General features: G+C 42.7%; 1 long non-coding RNA gene across 4 annotated transcripts in view, besides 2 other annotated features; it reads right to left on the reverse strand.

The window, feature by feature from the left end:
• LOC124901750 (uncharacterized) overlaps positions 1–20,867 on the reverse strand; it is a 224,798-nt gene that overhangs the window by 69,477 nt on the left and 134,454 nt on the right. The window lies entirely within an intron of this gene.
• Positions 14,334–14,628: a silencer, noted in NCBI's record as "tiled region #6861; HepG2 Repressive non-DNase unmatched - State 21:Repr". NCBI's record gives its function as "represses a minimal TATA promoter and a strong SV40 promoter by Sharpr-MPRA in HepG2 cells {active_cell/tissue: HepG2}" and the evidence as "EXISTENCE:reporter gene assay evidence [ECO:0000049][PMID:27701403]".
• Positions 15,199–15,409: a silencer, noted in NCBI's record as "fragment chr7:134388514-134388724 (GRCh37/hg19 assembly coordinates)". NCBI's record gives its function as "represses an EF-1alpha promoter that drives an FKBP-Casp9 reporter gene in an ReSE screen in K562 erythroleukemia cells {active_cell/tissue: K562}" and the evidence as "EXISTENCE:reporter gene assay evidence [ECO:0000049][PMID:32094911]".

Here is a 20,867-nt window from a genome sequence, read left to right on the forward strand (position 1 = left end):
TTTCTTTCTATATGCATGTTTCACTTAGACATATTCTTGATTTATATTCATATTTTATTCTTGTCTTTATCATAAGGATTTCTCCATGTTGTATAGACTTCAAACAATTTTACTCCATGGCTGAACACTGTTGCATCATTTGGATAGAACTTAAATGTCCAACAGGAAAAAAAAATTAGGTGCTTTCAATGTTTTGCTGTAAGTAATGTCTAAATATTTAAAAACTCAACCAAGCTAATAAACTGCTATATAAAATATGTTTTGTATATTTTTTATGCCTTGAAAAATATACCTTTATAACAAAAAGTACTTTAAAATATATAAAGCCATTTTATATGACTAAAAGCCACCACGCATCATCAAGGATGGTGATGACAGTCTTCTCTGAAAAGGTTTCATATATATTGAACTTTGAATGATTTTGTGTGTGTTTGCGTAAGTGTGTGTGTGTACCTGTACATGCGCTCCAGGCTGAAGAAGTAACAAGTGCAATAGTCCTGAGACAGAAGAGAGTGTTTAGGCAACAGATAATAGGTAAGGTCAGTGTAACCTGAACAACTTGAAGAAGGTGTTTAGGCAACAGACAACAGCTAAGGTCAGTAGTGAAGGCTGAAGTGGTGTAGGATGGGATTGGGGAGGTAGGCAGAAGCCAAATTGAGCCATGGTAGGGTGAACGGAAGACAGGAAAGGTCTTCCAAGCCAAAGAGTAGCCCAGTAGCCCATGCCCTCATTGCCACTGAAGAGCTTCTGCCATCTGAGCATGTAATCTCTCCAAGACAACATTTACGTTCTTGTGTAAACATAGATCATTGTGTAGCATAATCTCTATAAGAATTGTAATTCCTATCATATTTAAAAAGAGAGTAACAAGGAGACTTCAGTGTTTCTAAATGCACCCCTTCTGAAAGCATTTAAATCTTGATTTTAAATTTTATCATTTAGCTACAATGAATAAGCTCCCCTGGGTCATTCTCTAATGGCAATTTAAGCCAGGTCTTGGATCTTGTTTAATCCTCACAATAATATTCTGAGGTGAACATTTTTATTATATTCATCTTACAGATGAGCCTCACAAAACCTGAGTAGCAAGACACAGTCGCAAAGCTAGTATATAGCTGCAGCAAGATTCAAATCCAAGTTGACCTAACTCCAAAGCCCACGCTCTTGGCCACTGTCCCATACTGTTTTTAGTTTAATTTTTTTTTTTTTTGAGACAGAGTCTCGCTCTGTCACCCAGGCTGGAGTATAGTGGCTTGATCTCAACTCACTGCAACCTCCACCTCCTGGGTTCAAGCTATTCTCCTGCCTCAGCCTCCTGAGTAGCTGGGATTACAGGCGTGTGCCACCACACCAGGCTAATTTTTTGTAATTTTAGTAGAGACGGGGTTTCACCGTGTTAGCCAGTATGGTCTCGATCTCCTGACCTCGTGATCCATCTGCCTTGGCCTCCCAAAGTGCTGGGATTACAGGCGTGAGCCCACCGCGTGCCTGGCTGAAAAAAATTTTTAATTAAAATACCCATCCAAAATTGGTCAAAGAATAAAGTGGTTCAATGAAGCTACAGTGAGCAAGTTTCATTTTCATTCTCTGAAAGAGTAACATGGTGCCACACCAGTTCAACAGGACACCGAGTGGAGCTAGAGAGCTTAGATTTTTTTTCCACACAAAATTTAAGTGTGTGCTTTTGAAAGTGGGAGAAATAGGCGTTTGCTTTCCTTCTTTTCTTAAACTGTCTGCTTTGGTATTTGGAGAATTCAGAGCTTGTATATTAAAGCCTAACTGAACTATATAAATACACACATAGGAAGAGGAGAACAAGACATTTTATTTGCAGAAAATAAAACAAAGCAAAAAATTGTGTTTTCTTTAGCATGGAGTATTAAAAGCCATAGAGCTCCAGCCTTCGAAAGCTATCAGTGCCAGGGCCTTCCATTAAAAACTGTAAAGACCAGTCTAGCTAGTCTAAACAGAAAAGGAATTTGTTAAAGGATATTGGGTGGCTCACAGACTCTTTGGGAAAGCCAAGAGAGTTAAGCTTGGAAAGCCAGTCAGCTGAGAACAAGACTCAGTGAACAGTGTGAGATGGTTCCAGCAAGGACAATGGCCCTGCCGCTGGGCACAGACACTGCCCTCCTGCTGGAACATCTGCTGCTGCTAGCCCACTTGGCAATGGTCAGAGCGATTGCAGAAGTGGCTACAAATCCCTGTCCTCCTCTGTCCATCCACGCTCCCTTACAGGGAACTTTGAATGTCCTCCCAGCTGATTCTGGGCTCAGCTGCTGGGCCGACTTCATTCCTTTTTTCTGCGTGTGAGTTCAAAGTCAATACCAGATGGATTGTGAGCACGGACAGGAATGCTTTCCTGCACTGAGAAATACCTACTTCTCCCCATTGCCAGGCCCTTGGCTCCCACAGCTGTGGCTGTGTCTGCACACACAGGGCCTTTGTGTAGTCTGAATATGCCAGTTCCCACAAACCTCCAGCTGCGATTCCCTTTTTACCAACCATTCCCATCTAAGGAGTCAAAGGACGAATCACATTGCAAGGGACAATGGGTGTACAGGCTTGCTGAGAGAGCTTGCTTCAAATCCATGAGATGAAGAGACTCATGGGCAGTACGAGGCCATGGAGGCACTGCTGTTTTGGCAAAGAATGCTGGTCGTGACCACTTCCTTCTCTTTATTCTTCCTCAGAGTTCAACACTGGCCTTGCCCAAGTACCATGCTGAGAACTGGACCTCAGGAACTCCGACACACACGCCCTTTTCAGAAATTTGTAATTTCATCATTTCTTGACCAAATGACTCCAACCACAGAAAGGCACAAATTTTCCATTGGGATTTATTCTGCCCTCCCCTTTGGTGGGTATACTTTTTCTCTTTCTTGCTTTTGAAACCCCACTCATTATGTGAAGTATAGGTTTTTCAAACTGATTTTAAAGTAAACTTGTTATTAAATATACACATCGTGTCTTTCTGTCTTCCTAACTCCACTTTATAGATTTGAGAATTGAGACACAGAACAGTCTATGGCTCAGAAAAGCTAAATTCAATTTTTATTTGGCCTACGGGCCCTAATCTGGGCTTTGAAGTCTAAAGATCTAGAATTACCCACCGTCTTCCTACCCTCAGTCTGGTCAGACTCCGATGCATAAAGCTGGGAACCTCACTCCCCAAGCACCGGCAATCCAAGACTTCCCGTTTCTGGTTGCAATTGCAGGCTAGTAAATTTGGAGCACAGGATGGAACTATTTCTAGTACAGGCAAATAATTTGTAATAATTAAGAAGTATGAAGTTAATGAAAAGCAATTAACCCCATGGCAAGTTCGGCCATAAATTTTACTCCCAAAGTGAACGCATGATGCAGGTATGAGCCTTGATTTCAGATAAAGAAAAGAATGCAGAGCTATTATTAAATACAAAGTAAAACAACATGAAAAATGCCAGAAGATATAAAGAATGCAAGTAGGAGCCTGGGGGCAGAGGGAGGGAAGAGCTAAGAGAAGGCGGGGGCGGGAGGCGGTGGGGTGGGGGGGTGCGGTGGTGGAGGATGAAGGGAAGGGGAGACTGTTCCAGGGAGCTATGCCAATCTGATGCGGTCTCCAGGCTGGCTGATGCTGAGTGGAAGGGACGACAGAGCTTCCTCCTCCCCCAAGAGACCTGAACCTGGACTTCTACAGGCACCATTGAGCCCCCTCAGCCTCCCCACCCCACCCCTCACCCACCACAGGGAGGAGTCACATGGTGTTCCCCTTTTAAAGCAAGATTTAAAGAATTACTCCTCATTTCCTGGAACACTTGAGACCACAGAGGAGTTGGCAGAGGCAGAGGAAAATCAAGATTTTTGGTAGAATAGGAAAGGGGCCAAAGAGGAGGGTGCCATCATGGCCCTTGTGTCTTTCCCTACCAGGCAGAATCCTGGCAAAAGGCGTGGAGGGGCTTATCAGGCAGGCTGTGGTTGAAAAACCAACAAAGGATGCTTCAAGTTCTACTCATAGGTCCCGATGACTAGGGAGGGATTTCTGCCTTTAAAAGATCAAAACAGGATTTGCTGTTAAGCCACCTGAGGTGCAGCTTGAATTAACACCTAATATGATCACCAGGTCTTCCCCAACCACTGAGAAAAAGCATCTTCCCTTGTTTCTGTCATGGATGTTCGAAATTCCTTTAATAAAAAGTCTTTACTGGAATCATTAGAGATAAAATTTTAACAGCACATACCACTAAGGAACAGAGAATTCTGAAGACATTTACTCACAATGGAAAAGTAGTCAGTCAATGGAGGTTCCAGTAAACTTATTGGTGGCGGATTCCTCCTTGATTTGACAGTGAGAAAAGGGCTAAAGAGGAGGAGGAACTGTCTTTTTTAAGAAAGACCTGGAAAACTAAGTTATTGACTAGTTGATGGTGCCAAGGGCTGGCCTTTTTTATCTTCAGCTGGGGTAGAGGAGAGAGAACAGTCCACCTGCAAGCTGGGTGTGAAGCTATCTTGTCGCGTTGGGCTGTTGGAGATAAATAACCTTGTGTATGCTTTTGTGGACGTTTTGGTGCTTTCTTTTGTAATGCTTTTTTTAAAAAAAAAGTGTTACTGGAGCATCCTCTAGCATCGTTATTTGAGACGTATGTGTATAATGAGACACTTGGCAGCACGAGCGAATGAAGTGGAAGGGGACTGGGCACGAGGCGCTCAAGGTTTGGATTCTACCCCAGGCTCTGCTACCAACTGGCTGAATGACCTGCAGCCCATTACTTCATCTCTGAGACTTAATTCCCCAAAGCAGTGGCTCTAAATTAAGGTTTTCTTCTTTCTAAATCACAACCCTGTCTTTGAAAGCAGAGCTGCCCTGTGGAAATGAAGGAGGGGCCCCAGGACTCTGCCATTCAGCTCCCCACATCCTCCCCCTGTGTATGTGGTGCGTCATCAGAACCCTGGGCTGATTTGAACTGCACTGGCTCAGATGATGACTAAACACCCCTCCAGGTCATCAAAGAGTAGCTGCAGTTGGAGGAGCATCACTGACCACTTTGGGAAGCTGGCAGTCCTGTTTCAGTATGTGGCACAGGTCCCGTGAGCCTTATTCCGCGCTTGGGTTGCACATGGCAGCGAGGGAGCTGATGGGCTTTAGGTTCCCCCAGGGCGTGGATAATTTCTTTCTTGGCTGCGTGAGCTGCTGAAGGCATGGAAGTTCTAGGAATTTTTATTAAGAATTCTTTGATTAAGAATAGCTTCTAATCATTACATCCTCTACTAACAATCACATAACTTCCTGACTTCCAGTTCAGGTCCTCCTTGCTAGCCTAGGCTGCCTCTTGTTCTTTTCTATCTCTGCCATCCCACTGGAGCCTGAGAATAAATATTGTTTGACACTCTATGTCACAGATGACTTAAATGGTCAGAATAAACATGTCTCCTGTATTCTCTAAGTGGAGGTATCACCCTTCCACCTCCTATTCCCATCAGATACAAGAGAGAACAAAGAGGAAACTGTGATCTTCTCCTATACCTGCTATTAAATTACTGAGTAGCCTTGGAGATACTTATGTCGAGCAACTTTTCAGTGCCCCTATGTCCCTTCTGTTGGCAAAAAGCCTTTACTGAGCACCTACTCTTGGGGAAAGCAAATTATTAAGCACTAGATGGAATAAGAAGTGACATAAAAAATGAGAAGTAATGAAACTGCTTCTTTAAGCCTCCATAAAAATTAGAGTCAGGTCCAAAGCCACACCACACACAGGAGGGAAGCCCTAGAGACTCGTAAGCCTGGGAGTGGGGTGAGAAAATTGCATTTGGGCAAAATGGTCCTGCAAAAAATATGTAGGGAATCAGAGAAGACGAAACTCAAAACAAGGCCAACCATCTGAGTGCTGTAGAATCAACACTAGGAGAGCTGAGGACCCGGTCCTGGCATTACATCTCTCCCCCAGGAGAGGCAGCACCGAGCAATGGGAAGAATTGGGCCTAGGGGCTGAGGACTGAGAGACCCCAGGGGCTGGCACAAGTTCTGCACTCAACTTCCTGACAACAGGCTCTACGATAAGGAGGAGAGCCTCGTGGTCTTTGAGCACTCCCTGGTACTTACAGTCTATAATTCCCTCCGTCATCAGCCTTTTTTAAAGAAAATAAACTTAATGTCCTCAGAAGAGTCACAAAGCCACTCGGCATCCTTCCTTTCATTCTCTGCATGCATTTTCATTTGTCCCCAGATTCTTCTGGTCATCTTCCATGTTGATGGTTAAAAGTCATCAGAGCAGTCCCTGGTGGTGCAAAGCCCTACCTAAAAACACTGTGTAATAGTAACTCACACTTGTGTGGAACTAATTCTGTCTAAGCCCTGCTTGAGCACTTTATACATATTTGTGTATAAAGTAGGTACTAATATGATCCCATTTTACAGGTGAGAAAACTGAGGCACAGAGCCGTTAAGTAAGTTGCTCAAGGTCACACAGGGACAAGTGGCAAAGTTGGGCTTCAAAGCTGGGCAGTTTGTTCTGGAGCCCATGTGTTAAGCCACCATGTTTCACCACCTCTCCGTAATATGACAAATCATAATGGCAAAACCTCAATAACATGTATGGAAATTTCTTGGACATTCTGAACACAGAGAGTTTTGAGCCCTTAGGAAAGAGCCAACGCAACAAGGAAGTGGGTGGTGGAGTGTCTTAGAGTGTGCTAAGGGGCCTTAGAGGATGTCACAGCTATTGTGTACATGCACTGCTGCCACTGTCTATTTCTCTCTAAAAATTAGCAGCTACAAAGAAACATGATCATTTTCAACTTAAAAAAAAAAAGGCCCGCAGCTATAGGAATCTGGAAATAATCCCCTAACTCAAGGGACTGATTCATTGGTTTCAAAGGGATTGACCTTAAAGCTGGTATGTGAGTCGACTGAGGCCACTGGCAGGGATGCTAACCATTTATGGAATGCATTTTTGGAAAGAATTAGGGGGAAAATCATGTTGTGTCTTACAAACCAATAATTAGGAATACAGCTCTAAGGGGCGAGCATTAAATATCAAGTTTTCAGTATGCATAGTTTTTAAGGGAATCAGTTTGCCTTCTTCCTTCTCTTTCTTTTCTTTCTCAGATCTTACCCTAAGGATCAGATTCAGGCCATACCGGATGTGCCCAAATCATTTCCATCTGACGCCCAGGACGACCCAGGAGGCCTGGCCTTGAGGAGCAGCTCCCACTGAGAGCTATTTGTGAAGGAACCAAGCTAGAACCGCGTCAATTGTTTCTGTTCAGCCTGGTCCTGGCCCCACTGGTATGGTCTTGCTGACTTCCTTCTGACAGCCGAGTTTTTAAAATGGGCTGCTTTACAGTGTGGCCACGGATTAAAATAAGAAAAAAGAAGCCCTTCATTTCTATTCTATTTCCCTCCCATGCCCTCCCTTTCCAGCATATAAGTAAAGTGCTTCTCACAGAGCAGAAGCTTACTGACAACAGATGGGGAAACTGAGGCACAGAGAGGTTGACTCATGTGTCCAGCTCTGCTTAATTTTTGTGTAACAAATTAAGAGACACAGAGCTCTCTGTCCTGAACAAAACTCCAGGTAGTTAACGGGGTGTTCAATCAAAAAGAGAACACTGGGCTTTTATTTTTATTTACTTATTTCTTTAGAACCCCTTTGTGGCTATTTCTGGGAAAAGTGGTTGGAGCCCACCTGCCTGAGCCCAGGTTTTCACTGCTCCCCAAGACACAGAAAGAGAGCTGTTTAGTTCTGTATTCACCTCCACCTTGGCCAGATGTGATCAGACAAAACACACCTAGCAGAAAGGGTTTCCAGCTGCTCCCGAAGGCGGCTACAGTAATTTCAAGGGTAGAAGTTGGACACACTCATGTTTACCAGGGAGGTCAGTGTCTAAACTGAAAGGAGACAGGGAGGTGTGACTGGCAGCCTCAGGCACTGGGCAGGGCATGCACAGAACCCCGCCTCTGTTCGAGGGGGGTTGGGGAGGGGACCTGCAACGAGTGGCTTGTTCTATCCTGAACAAGGGTTTTACCCCAGGAAGGGGCCTTAAAGATCTCTGCCTCCAACCTCCTAGTTTTTTTTCTTTTAATTTTAAATATGTAAAATTTTAATACCATGAGAGATACCTTTTTTTTTTTTTTTTTTTTGAGATGGAGTCTCGCTCTGTCGCCCAGACTGGAGTGCAGTGGCACGATCTTGGCTCACTTCAAGCTCTGTCTCCAGGGTTCACGCCATTCTCCTGCCTCAGCCTCCCGAGTAGCTGGGACTACAGGCGCCTCCCACCACGCCCAGCTAAATTTTTTTTGTATTTTTAGTAGAGACGGAGTTTCACCGTGTTAGCCAGAATGGTCTCGATCTCCTGACCTCGTGATGCACCCGCCTCGGGCTCTCAAAGTGCTGGGATTACAGGCGTGAGCCTCCGCGCCCAGCCGAGAGATACTTTTTTAAAGAATAAAATGCTTCCATCAACTCAGATTCTTTGTTTTTGCTACTTAAATCAAGAGACTTTGTAGAGACCTGTTTTTCATGTCACACCAGCATGGCACATGTATACATATGTAACTAACCTGCACAATGTGCACATGTACCCTAAAACTTAAAGTATAATAAAAAAAAAAAAGAAAAAAAAAACCAATATGGTCAGTACTGGTCACATTCTAGCGTCTAGAAATCAAACAAATCACATCGAGAAGCACTGATTGAGCACCATGTATGTGCCCAACACAAGGAAAATTGCCAAGTAGTGTATCCCTACAGTGGTTTGTAAACTTTCTACTTGGAATCATTTTAGCTTAGGAGGAGTTAAAACATGAGTCTAGAGGGTGGATATGTGCTCTTCACCCTGCTTTCCCCAATGATGACCTCATACATAACCATAATACATATATTATTGAAATTGGAAAATAACCCTCTACTTTTACAGATGAAAGAATGCACACTCAGGGAGGCCAGGTGACTTGCCCCAGGGCACACAGTGAGTGAGGTAAGTTGGTGTCCCCCAGGCAGGCACACCCTGGTTGGTAATATCAAGGCTTTGTTTGAGTCCAGTTTCTGCCACGGATGAGCTGAGTGACATTAGACAATTTCCTTAAACTCATCTGTGAAATGGAGACAATAATAGTGCTTTCCTTGGGGGATTGTTCTGGGGACTAGGAAAAGGTGTGTGCAAGATTCTTGGCACAGTGCCTAAGGTGTAACAAGAATCCACCTGCATTGGAGGCTTGCTTTGTTCCGGTCATTGGTCTGGGTGCTTTATATGTTACACTATTTATTGCAACAACCCTGGAACCCATCATTATCAATTATTTTACCAATGGGAAAACTGAGGCACAAAGAAGTCAAAGGCTTAGTGAGGGGCAGAGATGGGGCCCAAAGTTGGGCTGAGTTGTGGAGCTCCTTGGCCTACCTTGGTCGAGGCTGAATGAACAGTGCTGCTGCAGTTGCCGTAAGCATGTTGCATCTCACCTGGATGCTCTGGCTTGCTGTGGTGGCTTCTCTTGAGCCATCTCTCTAGTGGCATCTGTGCATGAGTTTGGCTGCATGTGCAAACTCAGGACATTTAACTTTGGACCACCGTGAACTTTGTGGCTAACCAGATACTGCACTGACTTTACTCAACTCTTGGGCCTTTCAGGAGCTCAGTAATTATCCATTATGAGGCTCCTCACCTGCCCATCACTAGAAACTCCTTTCATTACCTCTTTTTCTCCACCTTTTGTGCCTCCTTTGTTTTAAAAGACTTTGCTATCGAACAACCTGCATTTTAAAATTAGTTTATCCATGCTTCCATTTTTAAAAAGTTATTCCAAGATATGTGCAATTGCCAATTAGAGATATTGGGCAGCAAAAGATAACCAACCCCATCAAACTTGGTTAACAGAATTCTAGCCCAAAGCAAACAAAATTTGACATTTTAACGAGACTGTGCAGGCTTAGCAGGCAGGGGTAGGACTTCAATGTGACTTTTAAAATACTGAAAATAGTTGGAGGACTCCTAAGGGTTTAGGAATCCCAGGGACTTAATCCAGTCCCCAAAGATTCTAAAGATTCCAGAAAATCCTCCATAAAACATAAATACCCTTTATTATATGTGCTTTATGTTGGCCTAAATCCCTTTTTAAATATCTTAATCTCATTCTACCTTACAGTTTGATATTTACATGAGAGTCTCTAAAATACAAGGAAATCCAATTGCATTAAAATATTTCTATGCACATATGGTACCCAGGTGCATAATAAAGGTAGACATCATTATCTTAAAAAGAGTGGCATGCAGTTTCTTCCCTGGTTATTCAATCTCTATCTACTCATATACTTTCCAGCATTTTCCCTCTCCCGTCCAGCCTTCAGCCCTACTTGCCGTCTTCCTTTTCCTTGCTATTAAGTTGGTGGTTCACTAAACTCTTACTAAACATGTGCTGTATTACTCCATGTTTTCCAGAGAAACAGAATCAACAAGATATTGATTCAATATATACACATATATATTTGGACATATACATATATATGGAGAGAGACAGAAAGATAGAGAGACAGAGATTGATTCATTTTAAAAGAAAGTGTGGGAACTGCAAGTCTGAAATTTGCAGGCCCAGACCAGCAGGCTGGAAGTTCTGGCAAGAGGTGACATTGCAGACTTGAGTCTGGAGGCAGAATTCCTTCCCCTTTGTAGGGCCTCAGTCTTTTCTCTTAAGGCCTCCAGCTGATTGGATGAGCGTCACCCACATGATGTATGGTAATCTACTCAAAGTCAACTCACTTAAATATCAATTATATCTTTTAAAATACCTTCTCTGCAACATCTAGGCTGATGTTTGACCAAACAACAGTGCATGACGTTTGTTGTGCCCCCAAACTGACACATAAAATCAACCATCACATGTACAGGCACTGTATTAAGCACTAGGGTGTAAAGATAAATATGACCCTGTCCTTAATCTTGAGGAGTTGATGATCAAATGGAGAAGGAAAGGCAGAAAGGAATCATTTTGGTAAATTCCATATTGAGGTATAGATGCAAAGCTGACAAAGGAGTTTGGCCTTGGGCCAGTATGAGAAGGCTACACTTTATTAGGTGCAATTTGAGCTGGCTCCTGAAGGCTGAGAAGAGGCTCGCCCCAAGGAAAGGCGTTCCAGTGATGGAGAAGCAAAAGGATTTGCACTACGTGGGCAACCGTGAATGGCTGGATGCGCTCATGTAAATAGGCAAGTTTTCTGAATAACCCAGCTGATTTCAAATCACGTTTAGCCATTCCTTGTTACAACATTCCTTCAAAAGAGTCATTTAGCTCAACAAACTCATTGTGGTCCTCTTTTAGACAGAAAGCTTCTCTTTCTCAGAAATGTAGCTGAGTGATGGTATTTTCCTTATAAGAAGAGACGTAGATCAGCTCACTGTCATTGTATCTGAACTCGGGGCTCTCCAGAAAGCAACAATTCCTTTTAATTCCTCTCTTACCTCTTTTCATGCCTCAAATCCCACACACATACCTCAAATCCAAAATAATTCAACCATAGCCTTGTGCATTGATGTCACAGGGCTTTCCTCTACTGAGAGGTTGAGCACAAAATCTCTTTAATTCTCCACTCCTTTCAGACTATGAAATGATGTCTGTTGGTGAATTGTTTATACATTCCAACAAAACAAGCCAACAAAAAAAAACTGAATGTAGTTGGCTCTTTTTTTCTCTCTGTGGATTTCAGAAAATTCCATTATGTTGCCAATTAGGCTTCCAAAATGGATGAACAATCTAAAAAAAAAAATCTAGACAGCAACATTATGTAGAGGAACAAGCACTATACTAGGAATCAGAAAAATGAGTTTTTCTTTTTACTTGTTTAAAACCCATTTATGCCTAGTGTTCCATTACTGGAACGCTGAGCACGTGGGAGTTATTTATATCCTACTGCTTAGGGTCATCACCAAGGTCTGATTGCAAAAATTCAAAAATTGCAATCTCGGGTATAAATGGGTTAAATGTTCTCTTATTTTAACCCTTATCTAAGCTGTGTGACCTTAGGAAAGAACATGGCCTCTCTGAGCTTGGATCCTCATCCATGTGGACTCACACTCTCCCAGGTCCTCCCAGTTCCCTGATCATGTTCCTTTCTTTTTTTGCATTTTGTTTTGTTTTGTTTTGTTTTGTTTTGAAATGGAGTCTCGCTCTGTTGCCCAGGCTAGAGTGCAATGGCATGATCTCGGCTCACTGCACCCTCCGCCTCCTGGGTTCAAGCTATTCTCATGTCTCAGCCTCCCAAGTAGCTGGGATTACAGGTGCCCACCACTGCGCCCGGCTAATTTTTGTATTTTTAGTAGAGACGGGTTTTCACCATGTTGGTCAGGTTGGTCTCGAACTCCCGACCTCAGGTGATCCGCCCGCCTCGGCCTCCCAAAGTGCTGGGATTACAGGCGTGAGCCACTGCACCCGGCCTCATGTTCCTTTCTTTCCCCCACTTATTTATAAACTTACATTCTTGAATAGAACATCTTTATTCTTTTGCTTTTCCAGTATGTTAAGGCAGTAAAAAATATTTTTGGAAAATACTTAACTTCATGATTTGCCATATACATTATTTTTTACCTAATCCAGGACTGAAAATAGTTAATTTTTGTAGTTGACCATTCATGTGATGTTCTTTCTTTCCATCTGAAGGTAATGTGGAGGCGACATTAACATAACGAAAGCATGGAAGAAGTAGAAACGTCAGTCTTTAATACTGAGCTTCATAACTCTTCCTTCATATACATCATTGCCAAATCAATGTCGGCATTTCAAATTGCTTTGGGATAGCACACCAGCTTGAGAGGAGTTGAGGTGAAGCCTCTCCTTTTGGTCTTCCTGTTGAATAACTACACTGAAATTCACCAACATAGTCAGTGGTGGGCTTTAGGCCACTGAATTAAACCAAGCTCACTGGCCCCATCTAGGGATCAAAAGCATTTAGCCCATGTTCTAACCATTGAATTAGACATCAAAGGTCCAAAGTTCTGAGACTGGCTTAGAATAACCCTTTACCTCCAGGCGGCATAACCTCCAGAACATTCCTGGAGGATGAACTTTTGGCTTTCACCAGCCTGACTGTTAAGCCAGCCACCATGGAAGATGAAATGTCTCACCAGAAATCACTCCCAGGTGGCAGTTCGTGCCTGTTTCCTCTCACATGGCCATCATGGGACGTCATTCTGGAAATCATTCTGCAGCTGTATGAAACCAGGGCCAAAACCCATTCCCCTACCCTGGAAGCAAGGGAAATATGGATATGGGAGAAATGAAATTTACTGACTATTGGTGATGAGGTGCTGTTGTCAAGGGTAAGAACTGGGCAAAAACTTTAAGAGGCTGAACACCTTTTGTTTTATCAAGAAAACTGTGAAAAACCCAAGGCAAAACAAGCAAGAAGCAAAATGGCCAATAGTTTGTCTCCAGCCAGGCCTCTATAAAGACCAGGAGGAGCAGCCTCCCAGGAGTCAGGGAGATAGATAGGCTATCTTCTTGTCTAGTCACTGTGAGATGACAAGGTCACAGGGTCACTCAGCTTTGTTTGTAGAATCCTGAGCCCCCTAAATCCAGTCTTGGATAGGAGGAGTGGGGAAGAAGCTTTATGGAAGGAGGAGTCTTATCAAGATTCTGGGGGACCCGCAAGTGGCTCTGGGCCTGGGAACAGCCACTCTGCCATATTTGCTAAATACCTGTCACCAGCAGAATCCTGCTCTAGATGCTGAGAGGAGCTACAAGGGCTATGAAAGTTCTCTCCATCATGGAGTTTGAGGTATGAATCGACCCAAAACCAGTCTGTAAAAATGCATGTGATCATGCATTTACTGTCCCCCTCAGCTGCATAGAAAGCTACACTAAAGCTACCCCTGCCACTCAAGGGTGGGACACACCTGCAACTTCAGAGTTGGAAAGCACCCACAGTAATCCCGTTGAACAATCCTCTCCCCGATTTACAGAAGAAACAATACCCATGCAGTTGGGAAGAGGCAGCATGGGAAGAAGAACTCCAGGCTGCTGGAGCCCATGAGAGGTCCGGTCCCGCCCAGGCTGCCTGACTCTTCTTGTGAGTTAGGAGAAGGGAGTGAGAGAGGCCAGAATCCGACCATGTGAGCTTTAATCCCCTTTGTGATATAGTCTGTGCTTACAAATGGTTAAGACAGTGTGTGGCTTTGCCTCTTTTTCTGCCCACATGCTGACAATTTTGTTGAACAAAATTACAAGAATAGCACAAGGATAACCTTTCCCCTGCCCTCTGCATGGGTCTTCCCGACATTGTTATGCTCGCCTGTCTTGTGCTATTAGATCAGCTTTCTTATTGCATCTATGCATTGTGGAACATTCTGGCTACAAGCCTGCGTGCTGGAGCCAGACTGCCTGGGTTCAAATCCCACCACTACCTCTGCTGGCTGTGACGTTTGGCAAGTTCCTTAACCTCTGTCTTCAGTTTTCTTGCCTGAACAGTAAGGAAGGGGATCAGATCCTCTCAAAGGTGCTGCTCAGCCCTGACATGATTGTGCTTTTATTTATTTAAAAAACATAAAAATGATGACTGTGCCTATTACAGGAAGGAATGGAACAGAAGGAGCAGGCAGTGGTGAGAGAAAGATGGATCAAAGAGCCTTTCCCTTCAGCTATAAACCAGCTTCTCTTGTTTCTCTTTGCCTTGCTTTTAAGGTATCTCTGACTACAGAGGAAGAAGAACACGGGAACTTTGAGTTGTTATTATTGAGGAAGACAGGATGATCAGGAATTTGACCAGGAAGCCCAGGTCACATCTAACATCAGTGAGGCAGTGACTGGTTAAAGGCTTGATGAGAACTGGCTGTCTGGCCCCAGGCTGCCAGGAATAGCGGGGGTCAATGACCTATAAAACCTTAGGCTGTATCAGCTTGGGTGGACTAAGTGATTACCATGTCTCCCTAGAAGCTAGTCTGGAAGCCATCCGCAGGGGAATTTGAACTAATGAACCAGGGCCACTGGGGATGGGACCCAGGAATCTGGATTTTAACCAGCATCTCAGCTGACTCTTAGGCTTCAGGTTTAGAACCACTGATGTGGTCCATTCTTCTCACCGACAAAACAAGGACCAGCTCTTTCTTTTTTCTCTGCTTCTTTTCAGACAGAAGGTGTTCGGGGTAGAGAAGCAGAGTTTGATCTCAGTGCTGCTTCTTCTTCTAAGCCACCGTGTTCAGAGAGCTAAGCATAAGGCAGAATGGAGGTGAGAAATCGCTCAGAAATTCTCAAAGCCCAGGCAAAGGGAGATTTGATTTCCTTTTGCATGCTTCCCCGAAGTATGTTAATTCTGGCGTAAACATGGTCTGAGGCATTACTAGGGTGAGGAGAAAGGCGTGCTGAGAAAGGAGGCCCTTACTCTCATAGGCCTTTCGTTGCAGGTCACAGGATGTCACTGATGGGTTGTTCTGAAAGCATTTGCCCCCTGCCACCCCCACCAAGCAGAGTCCTACCCGCTTACGAAAGCAGTTTCTTTGAGGTCAAAGGCTGAGAACAAACTGCAAATAAAAGCATCAGTCTCCTTTGCAGCTGACTCACTTAGGTCACCCCAGGGAGCAGCCAAACCACTGTATAAGGGAGGGACAGCTCAATTTGAGGCATGTATAAATTAGGAAATGTGTAGTACTAATGGATAATTAATAGGTTGTTTTATTTGCAGAGCCGATAGACAAATTTGGCATTCCGTGTGTTCAGACCTTTAAATATTTATAACCAAGAGCCTACAGGAGTACTGTTTCTGTAGAGACTTTTCTGATAGAGTATTGTGAATTTCAAAGTGCCCTTGGCTAAGCCTTTCTGCGATTTCATTCCACTTTTTTTTTTTTCTGCATATAATGGCTAAAGAAATTTTCCTGGGTCACCTTAGTAAACACTGTGTGGTAGTACTTTGAATGTTGTAGGGACCTGGGATACACCCACTACGCAGGGCTAACTACCAAGCAAAGAAGTCCCTTTGCTCATTAGAACAGATGGAAGGGCCAAACCTATCACAATTTAACTTTGAGAAACCACAGGACCTCATTGCCAATAGACTTTTTCTGAGGTGGGCCCTGGAGACCCCTCTGAAAAGTATTTCAGGAAATGTGAGAAGTTCGTGTCCTCTTAGAAAAACTTCAGCTACTCCTAGGGAGTCATAAGCAAACCCCAAATTCCAGAAAGGGGCTTCTTGGGGATTTTGAGACTTTGGGGAGTTTGAGAACTTGACCTTCCCAGAGTACCCTAGAGAGGGGTGAACTGATCAAGAACCATACACTCCATGGTACCACCTGCAAACCCTCTTCCTCACACCCAAAGGGAGTTCTTGGCCCTCACTGGGACTCCTTGCACCCCGGGGAAATGGGTCCAGGAGAGTTGAGCAACTCATCCAAAGTCCCACTACAGTGAGTGTCAGGGCTAGGGTTCAAGCTCACATCTGCCAAACCTCAAAGCCACACTGCAATATAATTATGAAAATAATACGATACTTTTGGTTACTGAGGCATGCTTCGCTGAACCTCAGATTCCTTACCTATCAAGCAGGGCTAATAACACCCACACGCAGAGTTAAGGTCAGTGTCAAATGAGATGATATGCTTATGTCGAGCACCCAACATTGTTTCTGGAACATAGAAGATGCATAACATAGGATTGCTATAATTTTTACTGTTGTTGGAGAGTGGAAACAAATCAGTGGGTTAAGGGAAGAGTGCACATTATTGTCTATAACCCAATAAAGAGAAAAATCAGTGATCTTTGGGAATTGAAAAGAAGTGTTACAAATTGTCACCCTATCCCACTCTGACTTAACAAATCTTTAGATCAGCCAATGAACAACAAGAATGATTGTTAGGGATGGTTGTAAGAGATTGGGTGGTGATATACTCAAGCCTGTTTTGAAGAGTGAAGCAACTCGCAGAGTTGCAAGTACAAATAATAAACGGACAGCAAACAAGAACATAGGAGCCAATCTGCTGATACCAGAAAGAGATGATCTCTGTCCTTCATTCAGCATGTAGTGAGCAGCTACCACATGCTGAGAACTGTGCCGGTATAGATTTGTGTCCCTCTCAGGAGGGTGCTTCTGGTGCTAGACAGAAAATTGGACACTCTGTGGGATCACTGACATGTCTGTAATGATAGGGAAAGACCATCCTAACAGATCCAGGTAAGCAGAGGACAGTAACACGGCTAAAAAGCGTCCAGTAGTAACAGCTGCTTCCACTGTTGACCATTCTTCTGAAGCACAGTTATATTTATTAGAAAAGCTTTTGCAAATATAATTTTACTAAAGTTGCAACATTTGATGTTAAATTCCAATGGGATCCACTTTCCTGGTAATGTGTCCAGATCCCTTGGGGGAGCACATGGTTTTGATGAGTGGAGAATACTAGAATACTAGAATGATGTGATTATTTCTACCAACCAAACAATGAATTATTCCTGCCAACCGAACAATGAAAAAAAGGGCTTTGTTTTGTTTTTGGTTCTCCTGCACTTATGTAGCTGTTGGAGTCTCTAGAAAGAAATAGCAGAAAAATATTTTGCAATTTCAAAGAGTACCTGTGGCCAAATGCTATACCATTCAAAGTTAGAAGTAGTTTTATGAAGTGAGTCAGTAAATTCAAGCAGTAGCTTTCTAATATTTGAGTGTTCTGTAAGCCAGTGGTTCTAGTATTTTGAATTCATTTTAAAATTAGGGACCAGGCACCCTGGTTTTTGCTGTAATCCAAATACTTGGGAGGCCAAAGTGGGAGGATCACTTGAGGCCAGGGGCTAAAGACCAAGCCTGGGCAACATAGCGAGACTCCATTTGTACAAAAAACAAACACGCAAAAAAATTAGCAGGGCCTGGTGGTGTGTGCCTGAAGTCCTAGCTACTCAGGTGGCTAAGGCGGGAGGATCTCTTGAGCCCAAGTTGAGGCTGCAGTTTTCCACAAAAGAAAGGACTTTTTCCACATTAACAAAAGGAGGATAAAAACATAGACTAAGGATAAAAGAGCCTCCTTTCCAAGAAAGGATGATAGGTAGCCTTAACCTTGTGGCATATTCCAGCTAGGTTTTGGCTAATGTCTGCATACTTTCCTTTGAGCATAAGCTGCTGGACTGCATTTTTTCACCCCCCGCCTTCATTTAGGTGGGGCCATGTGACTAGTTCTTAGCAATGGAGTGCAGAAGGGATGCATGCTTCCTCCGGGCCAGGTGGCTAGGTGCACGTGTGTCCTCTCTACCCTCCCTTCCCAGGTTCTAGAAGATGGCAGAGCCCCTGAATGGAAGGAGTGCAGGTCCCAGAATGACCACCGGAGCAGTCCTCACGTTCATGGACTGTGATAGAACTGCAAAATAACCCTTTATTGTGTTAAACAATTGAGATTTGAGGGTTATATATTAGAGGTGCATTATTATTTAGCTTAACTAGCACATCCCAATTCATGAATACATTTATACATTTATTTATTATATTTACTCTATGTGTTAATTTTTCTAACTGCTCTGTGAACCAGTAAAAACTTCATTACAGACAAGTTTGGGAAACACTGCTATATGGCCTGGATTTAGAAGTTCAAAATACAGAAGGGTAGAAGTTAGTGAATCATACCATCAAGAATTATGACTGGTTTTTTGCAATCTTTTTTATTTTTAAGGACTCTAGCGTAAAATTTACTAGTTACTCTACATTAAAAGGCCTATTTCTAGGGACTATCAAAGAATCACATATGTTAATTGATACAGAAGAGTCATTTCTACTTGGTCTATACCACACCATCTAATTTGATCTTAGCCTATCAGCATCCTGATATTTACTAGAGGCCTAGTGAATTTTCTGTTTCAAGTGTAATATTTAAGGCAACATTACCAAGTGCTCCTAGGAAAAGTCACACAAAAAATAAGTGATCTAGAATGTAACATTATGAAGATCTGGACAGGAAGGATTCAGATATCAATTTTTTAGAAAACAGCCCCTAGGCTGGGCATGGTGGCTCACACCTGTAATCCCAGCACTTTGGGAAGCTGAGGTGGGCAGATCACCTGAGGTCGGGAGTTCGAGACCAGCCTGAACAACATGGAGAAACACTGTCTCTACTAAAAATACAAAAATTAGCCAGATGTGGTGGCGCATGCCTGTAATCCCAGCTACTCAGGAGGCAGGAGAATCACTTGAACCCGGGAGGCGGAGGTTGCGGTGAGCCAAGATGGCACCATTGCACTCCAGCCTGGGCAACAAGAGCAAAACTCTATCTCAAAGAAAAAAGAAAATAGCTCCTAACTAATATATAGTTACAGAGATAGATAGACATATAGATAGATGATAGATGATAGATAGATAGATAGATAGATAGATAGATAGATAGACAGATAGCAACACCAATTAAAAAAAGAAAACCCTCAAATCACTCCAAACCAAAGGTAATATATTTTAAAAGGATACAGAGGGCAAATGAAATATGAGATTTATAGTGCCTGAATGTCAATCCTTAGTTTGACTCTGAAAGTATTAATGATAGGTAAGGTTTTGACAGTCATGTGTCCTGACTAACAAGTTAATAAATCAATACACAAAAGCAGCATTTTCAGTTTTTCAGACTACTTTTCATAATGTGACCAAACATGCATTGTGAAATCAGTCTGAAACTAGCCTCTTTTGTGAGGATAATCACACATTGCCCAATATCTAAAATGTCCCCAGTGCCTTCAAGGGCGTAGGTGCTAATTAAGGCCTTTGGAGTAGGTTTACAACATGCACACACACACAGTCTCATTATATTAAAAGTGGCACCTCATTTTTTTCTAATTTCAAATTTTATTTTAAATTTGTGTGGGTTCATAGTAGGTGTATATATTTATAGGGTACATGAGATGTTTTGATACAGGTATGCAATGTGTAACAACCACATCATGGAGAATGGAGTATCCATCCCCTCAAGCATTTATCATTTGTGTTATAAACAATCCAATTATATCTTCCTTTAGTTATTTTAAAATGTGCAGTTAAATTATTATTGACTATAGTCACCCTATTTTGCTATCAAATTATTCATTCTTCCTATTTTTTTGTACCCATTAACCATCCCCACCTCCTTTTCACCCCCCACCCCATATCATTTTTTGACCAAATACCATTACTCAATTTGGTAACAGTAGGGACCATTCATCTGATCATCTCCCCAAATAGAATCATACATTGACTACGGTGCACATTCAATACTCTTCACTGACAGCCATTGGTTGAATGACCCCTTTAATTTATGAGACCTTGGTCTGAATGACTTATGGCTGTTTCCACAACCTCAAGCCACCTTCTAAGATGTGAAGGAGATAGTGTGAGGTGGATAGTACACTCTGTTTGGAGGCAGACGTTCTGGCTTTCTTATTTGCCAGCTGTGAGTACTTGGGCAAACAACTTAACAGCTTGAGGCCTTGGTTTCTTCATGCCACAGAAGTTATACAGAGTCTTGGGAACATTTTGAGCATAAATGGGATAATGTATAAATAATATGATACATGGTATGATTATTTATTATTGTTATTTAAAGGCATATACATAGCCTGTGAAAATAACATCAAGATTTACAAGCTTTTGGATCCATGAAAGTTAATTGGAATAAGTTTTTCTCTTTGCAAAGTAGACAGCTCTTATTTGTTTTATTAGTCCTGGAATGCTGCTTAAAAACTCAGTCACACCACTACAACTTGAGGGATTAATAAAATGGGTGACAATTTGAAAAAGACCTTTACAATTTCCAGCTTTTTCTTTACCATTCACAAAGCACAAGAATGCTATTGAGACCGAAATAAGCGGGAGGTGGAGATTTAAAATGGAAAGTACCATCATGGGCATCTGAAGTTTCTTTTGGATTAGGCTCTGTTTAAAGAATGGAAAATATTTTTGCAATGGAAATTCTTGACA

This window comes from Homo sapiens, chromosome 7 (assembly GCF_000001405.40).
Source record: "Homo sapiens chromosome 7, GRCh38.p14 Primary Assembly".
NCBI classification, from domain to species: domain Eukaryota; kingdom Metazoa; phylum Chordata; class Mammalia; order Primates; family Hominidae; genus Homo; species Homo sapiens.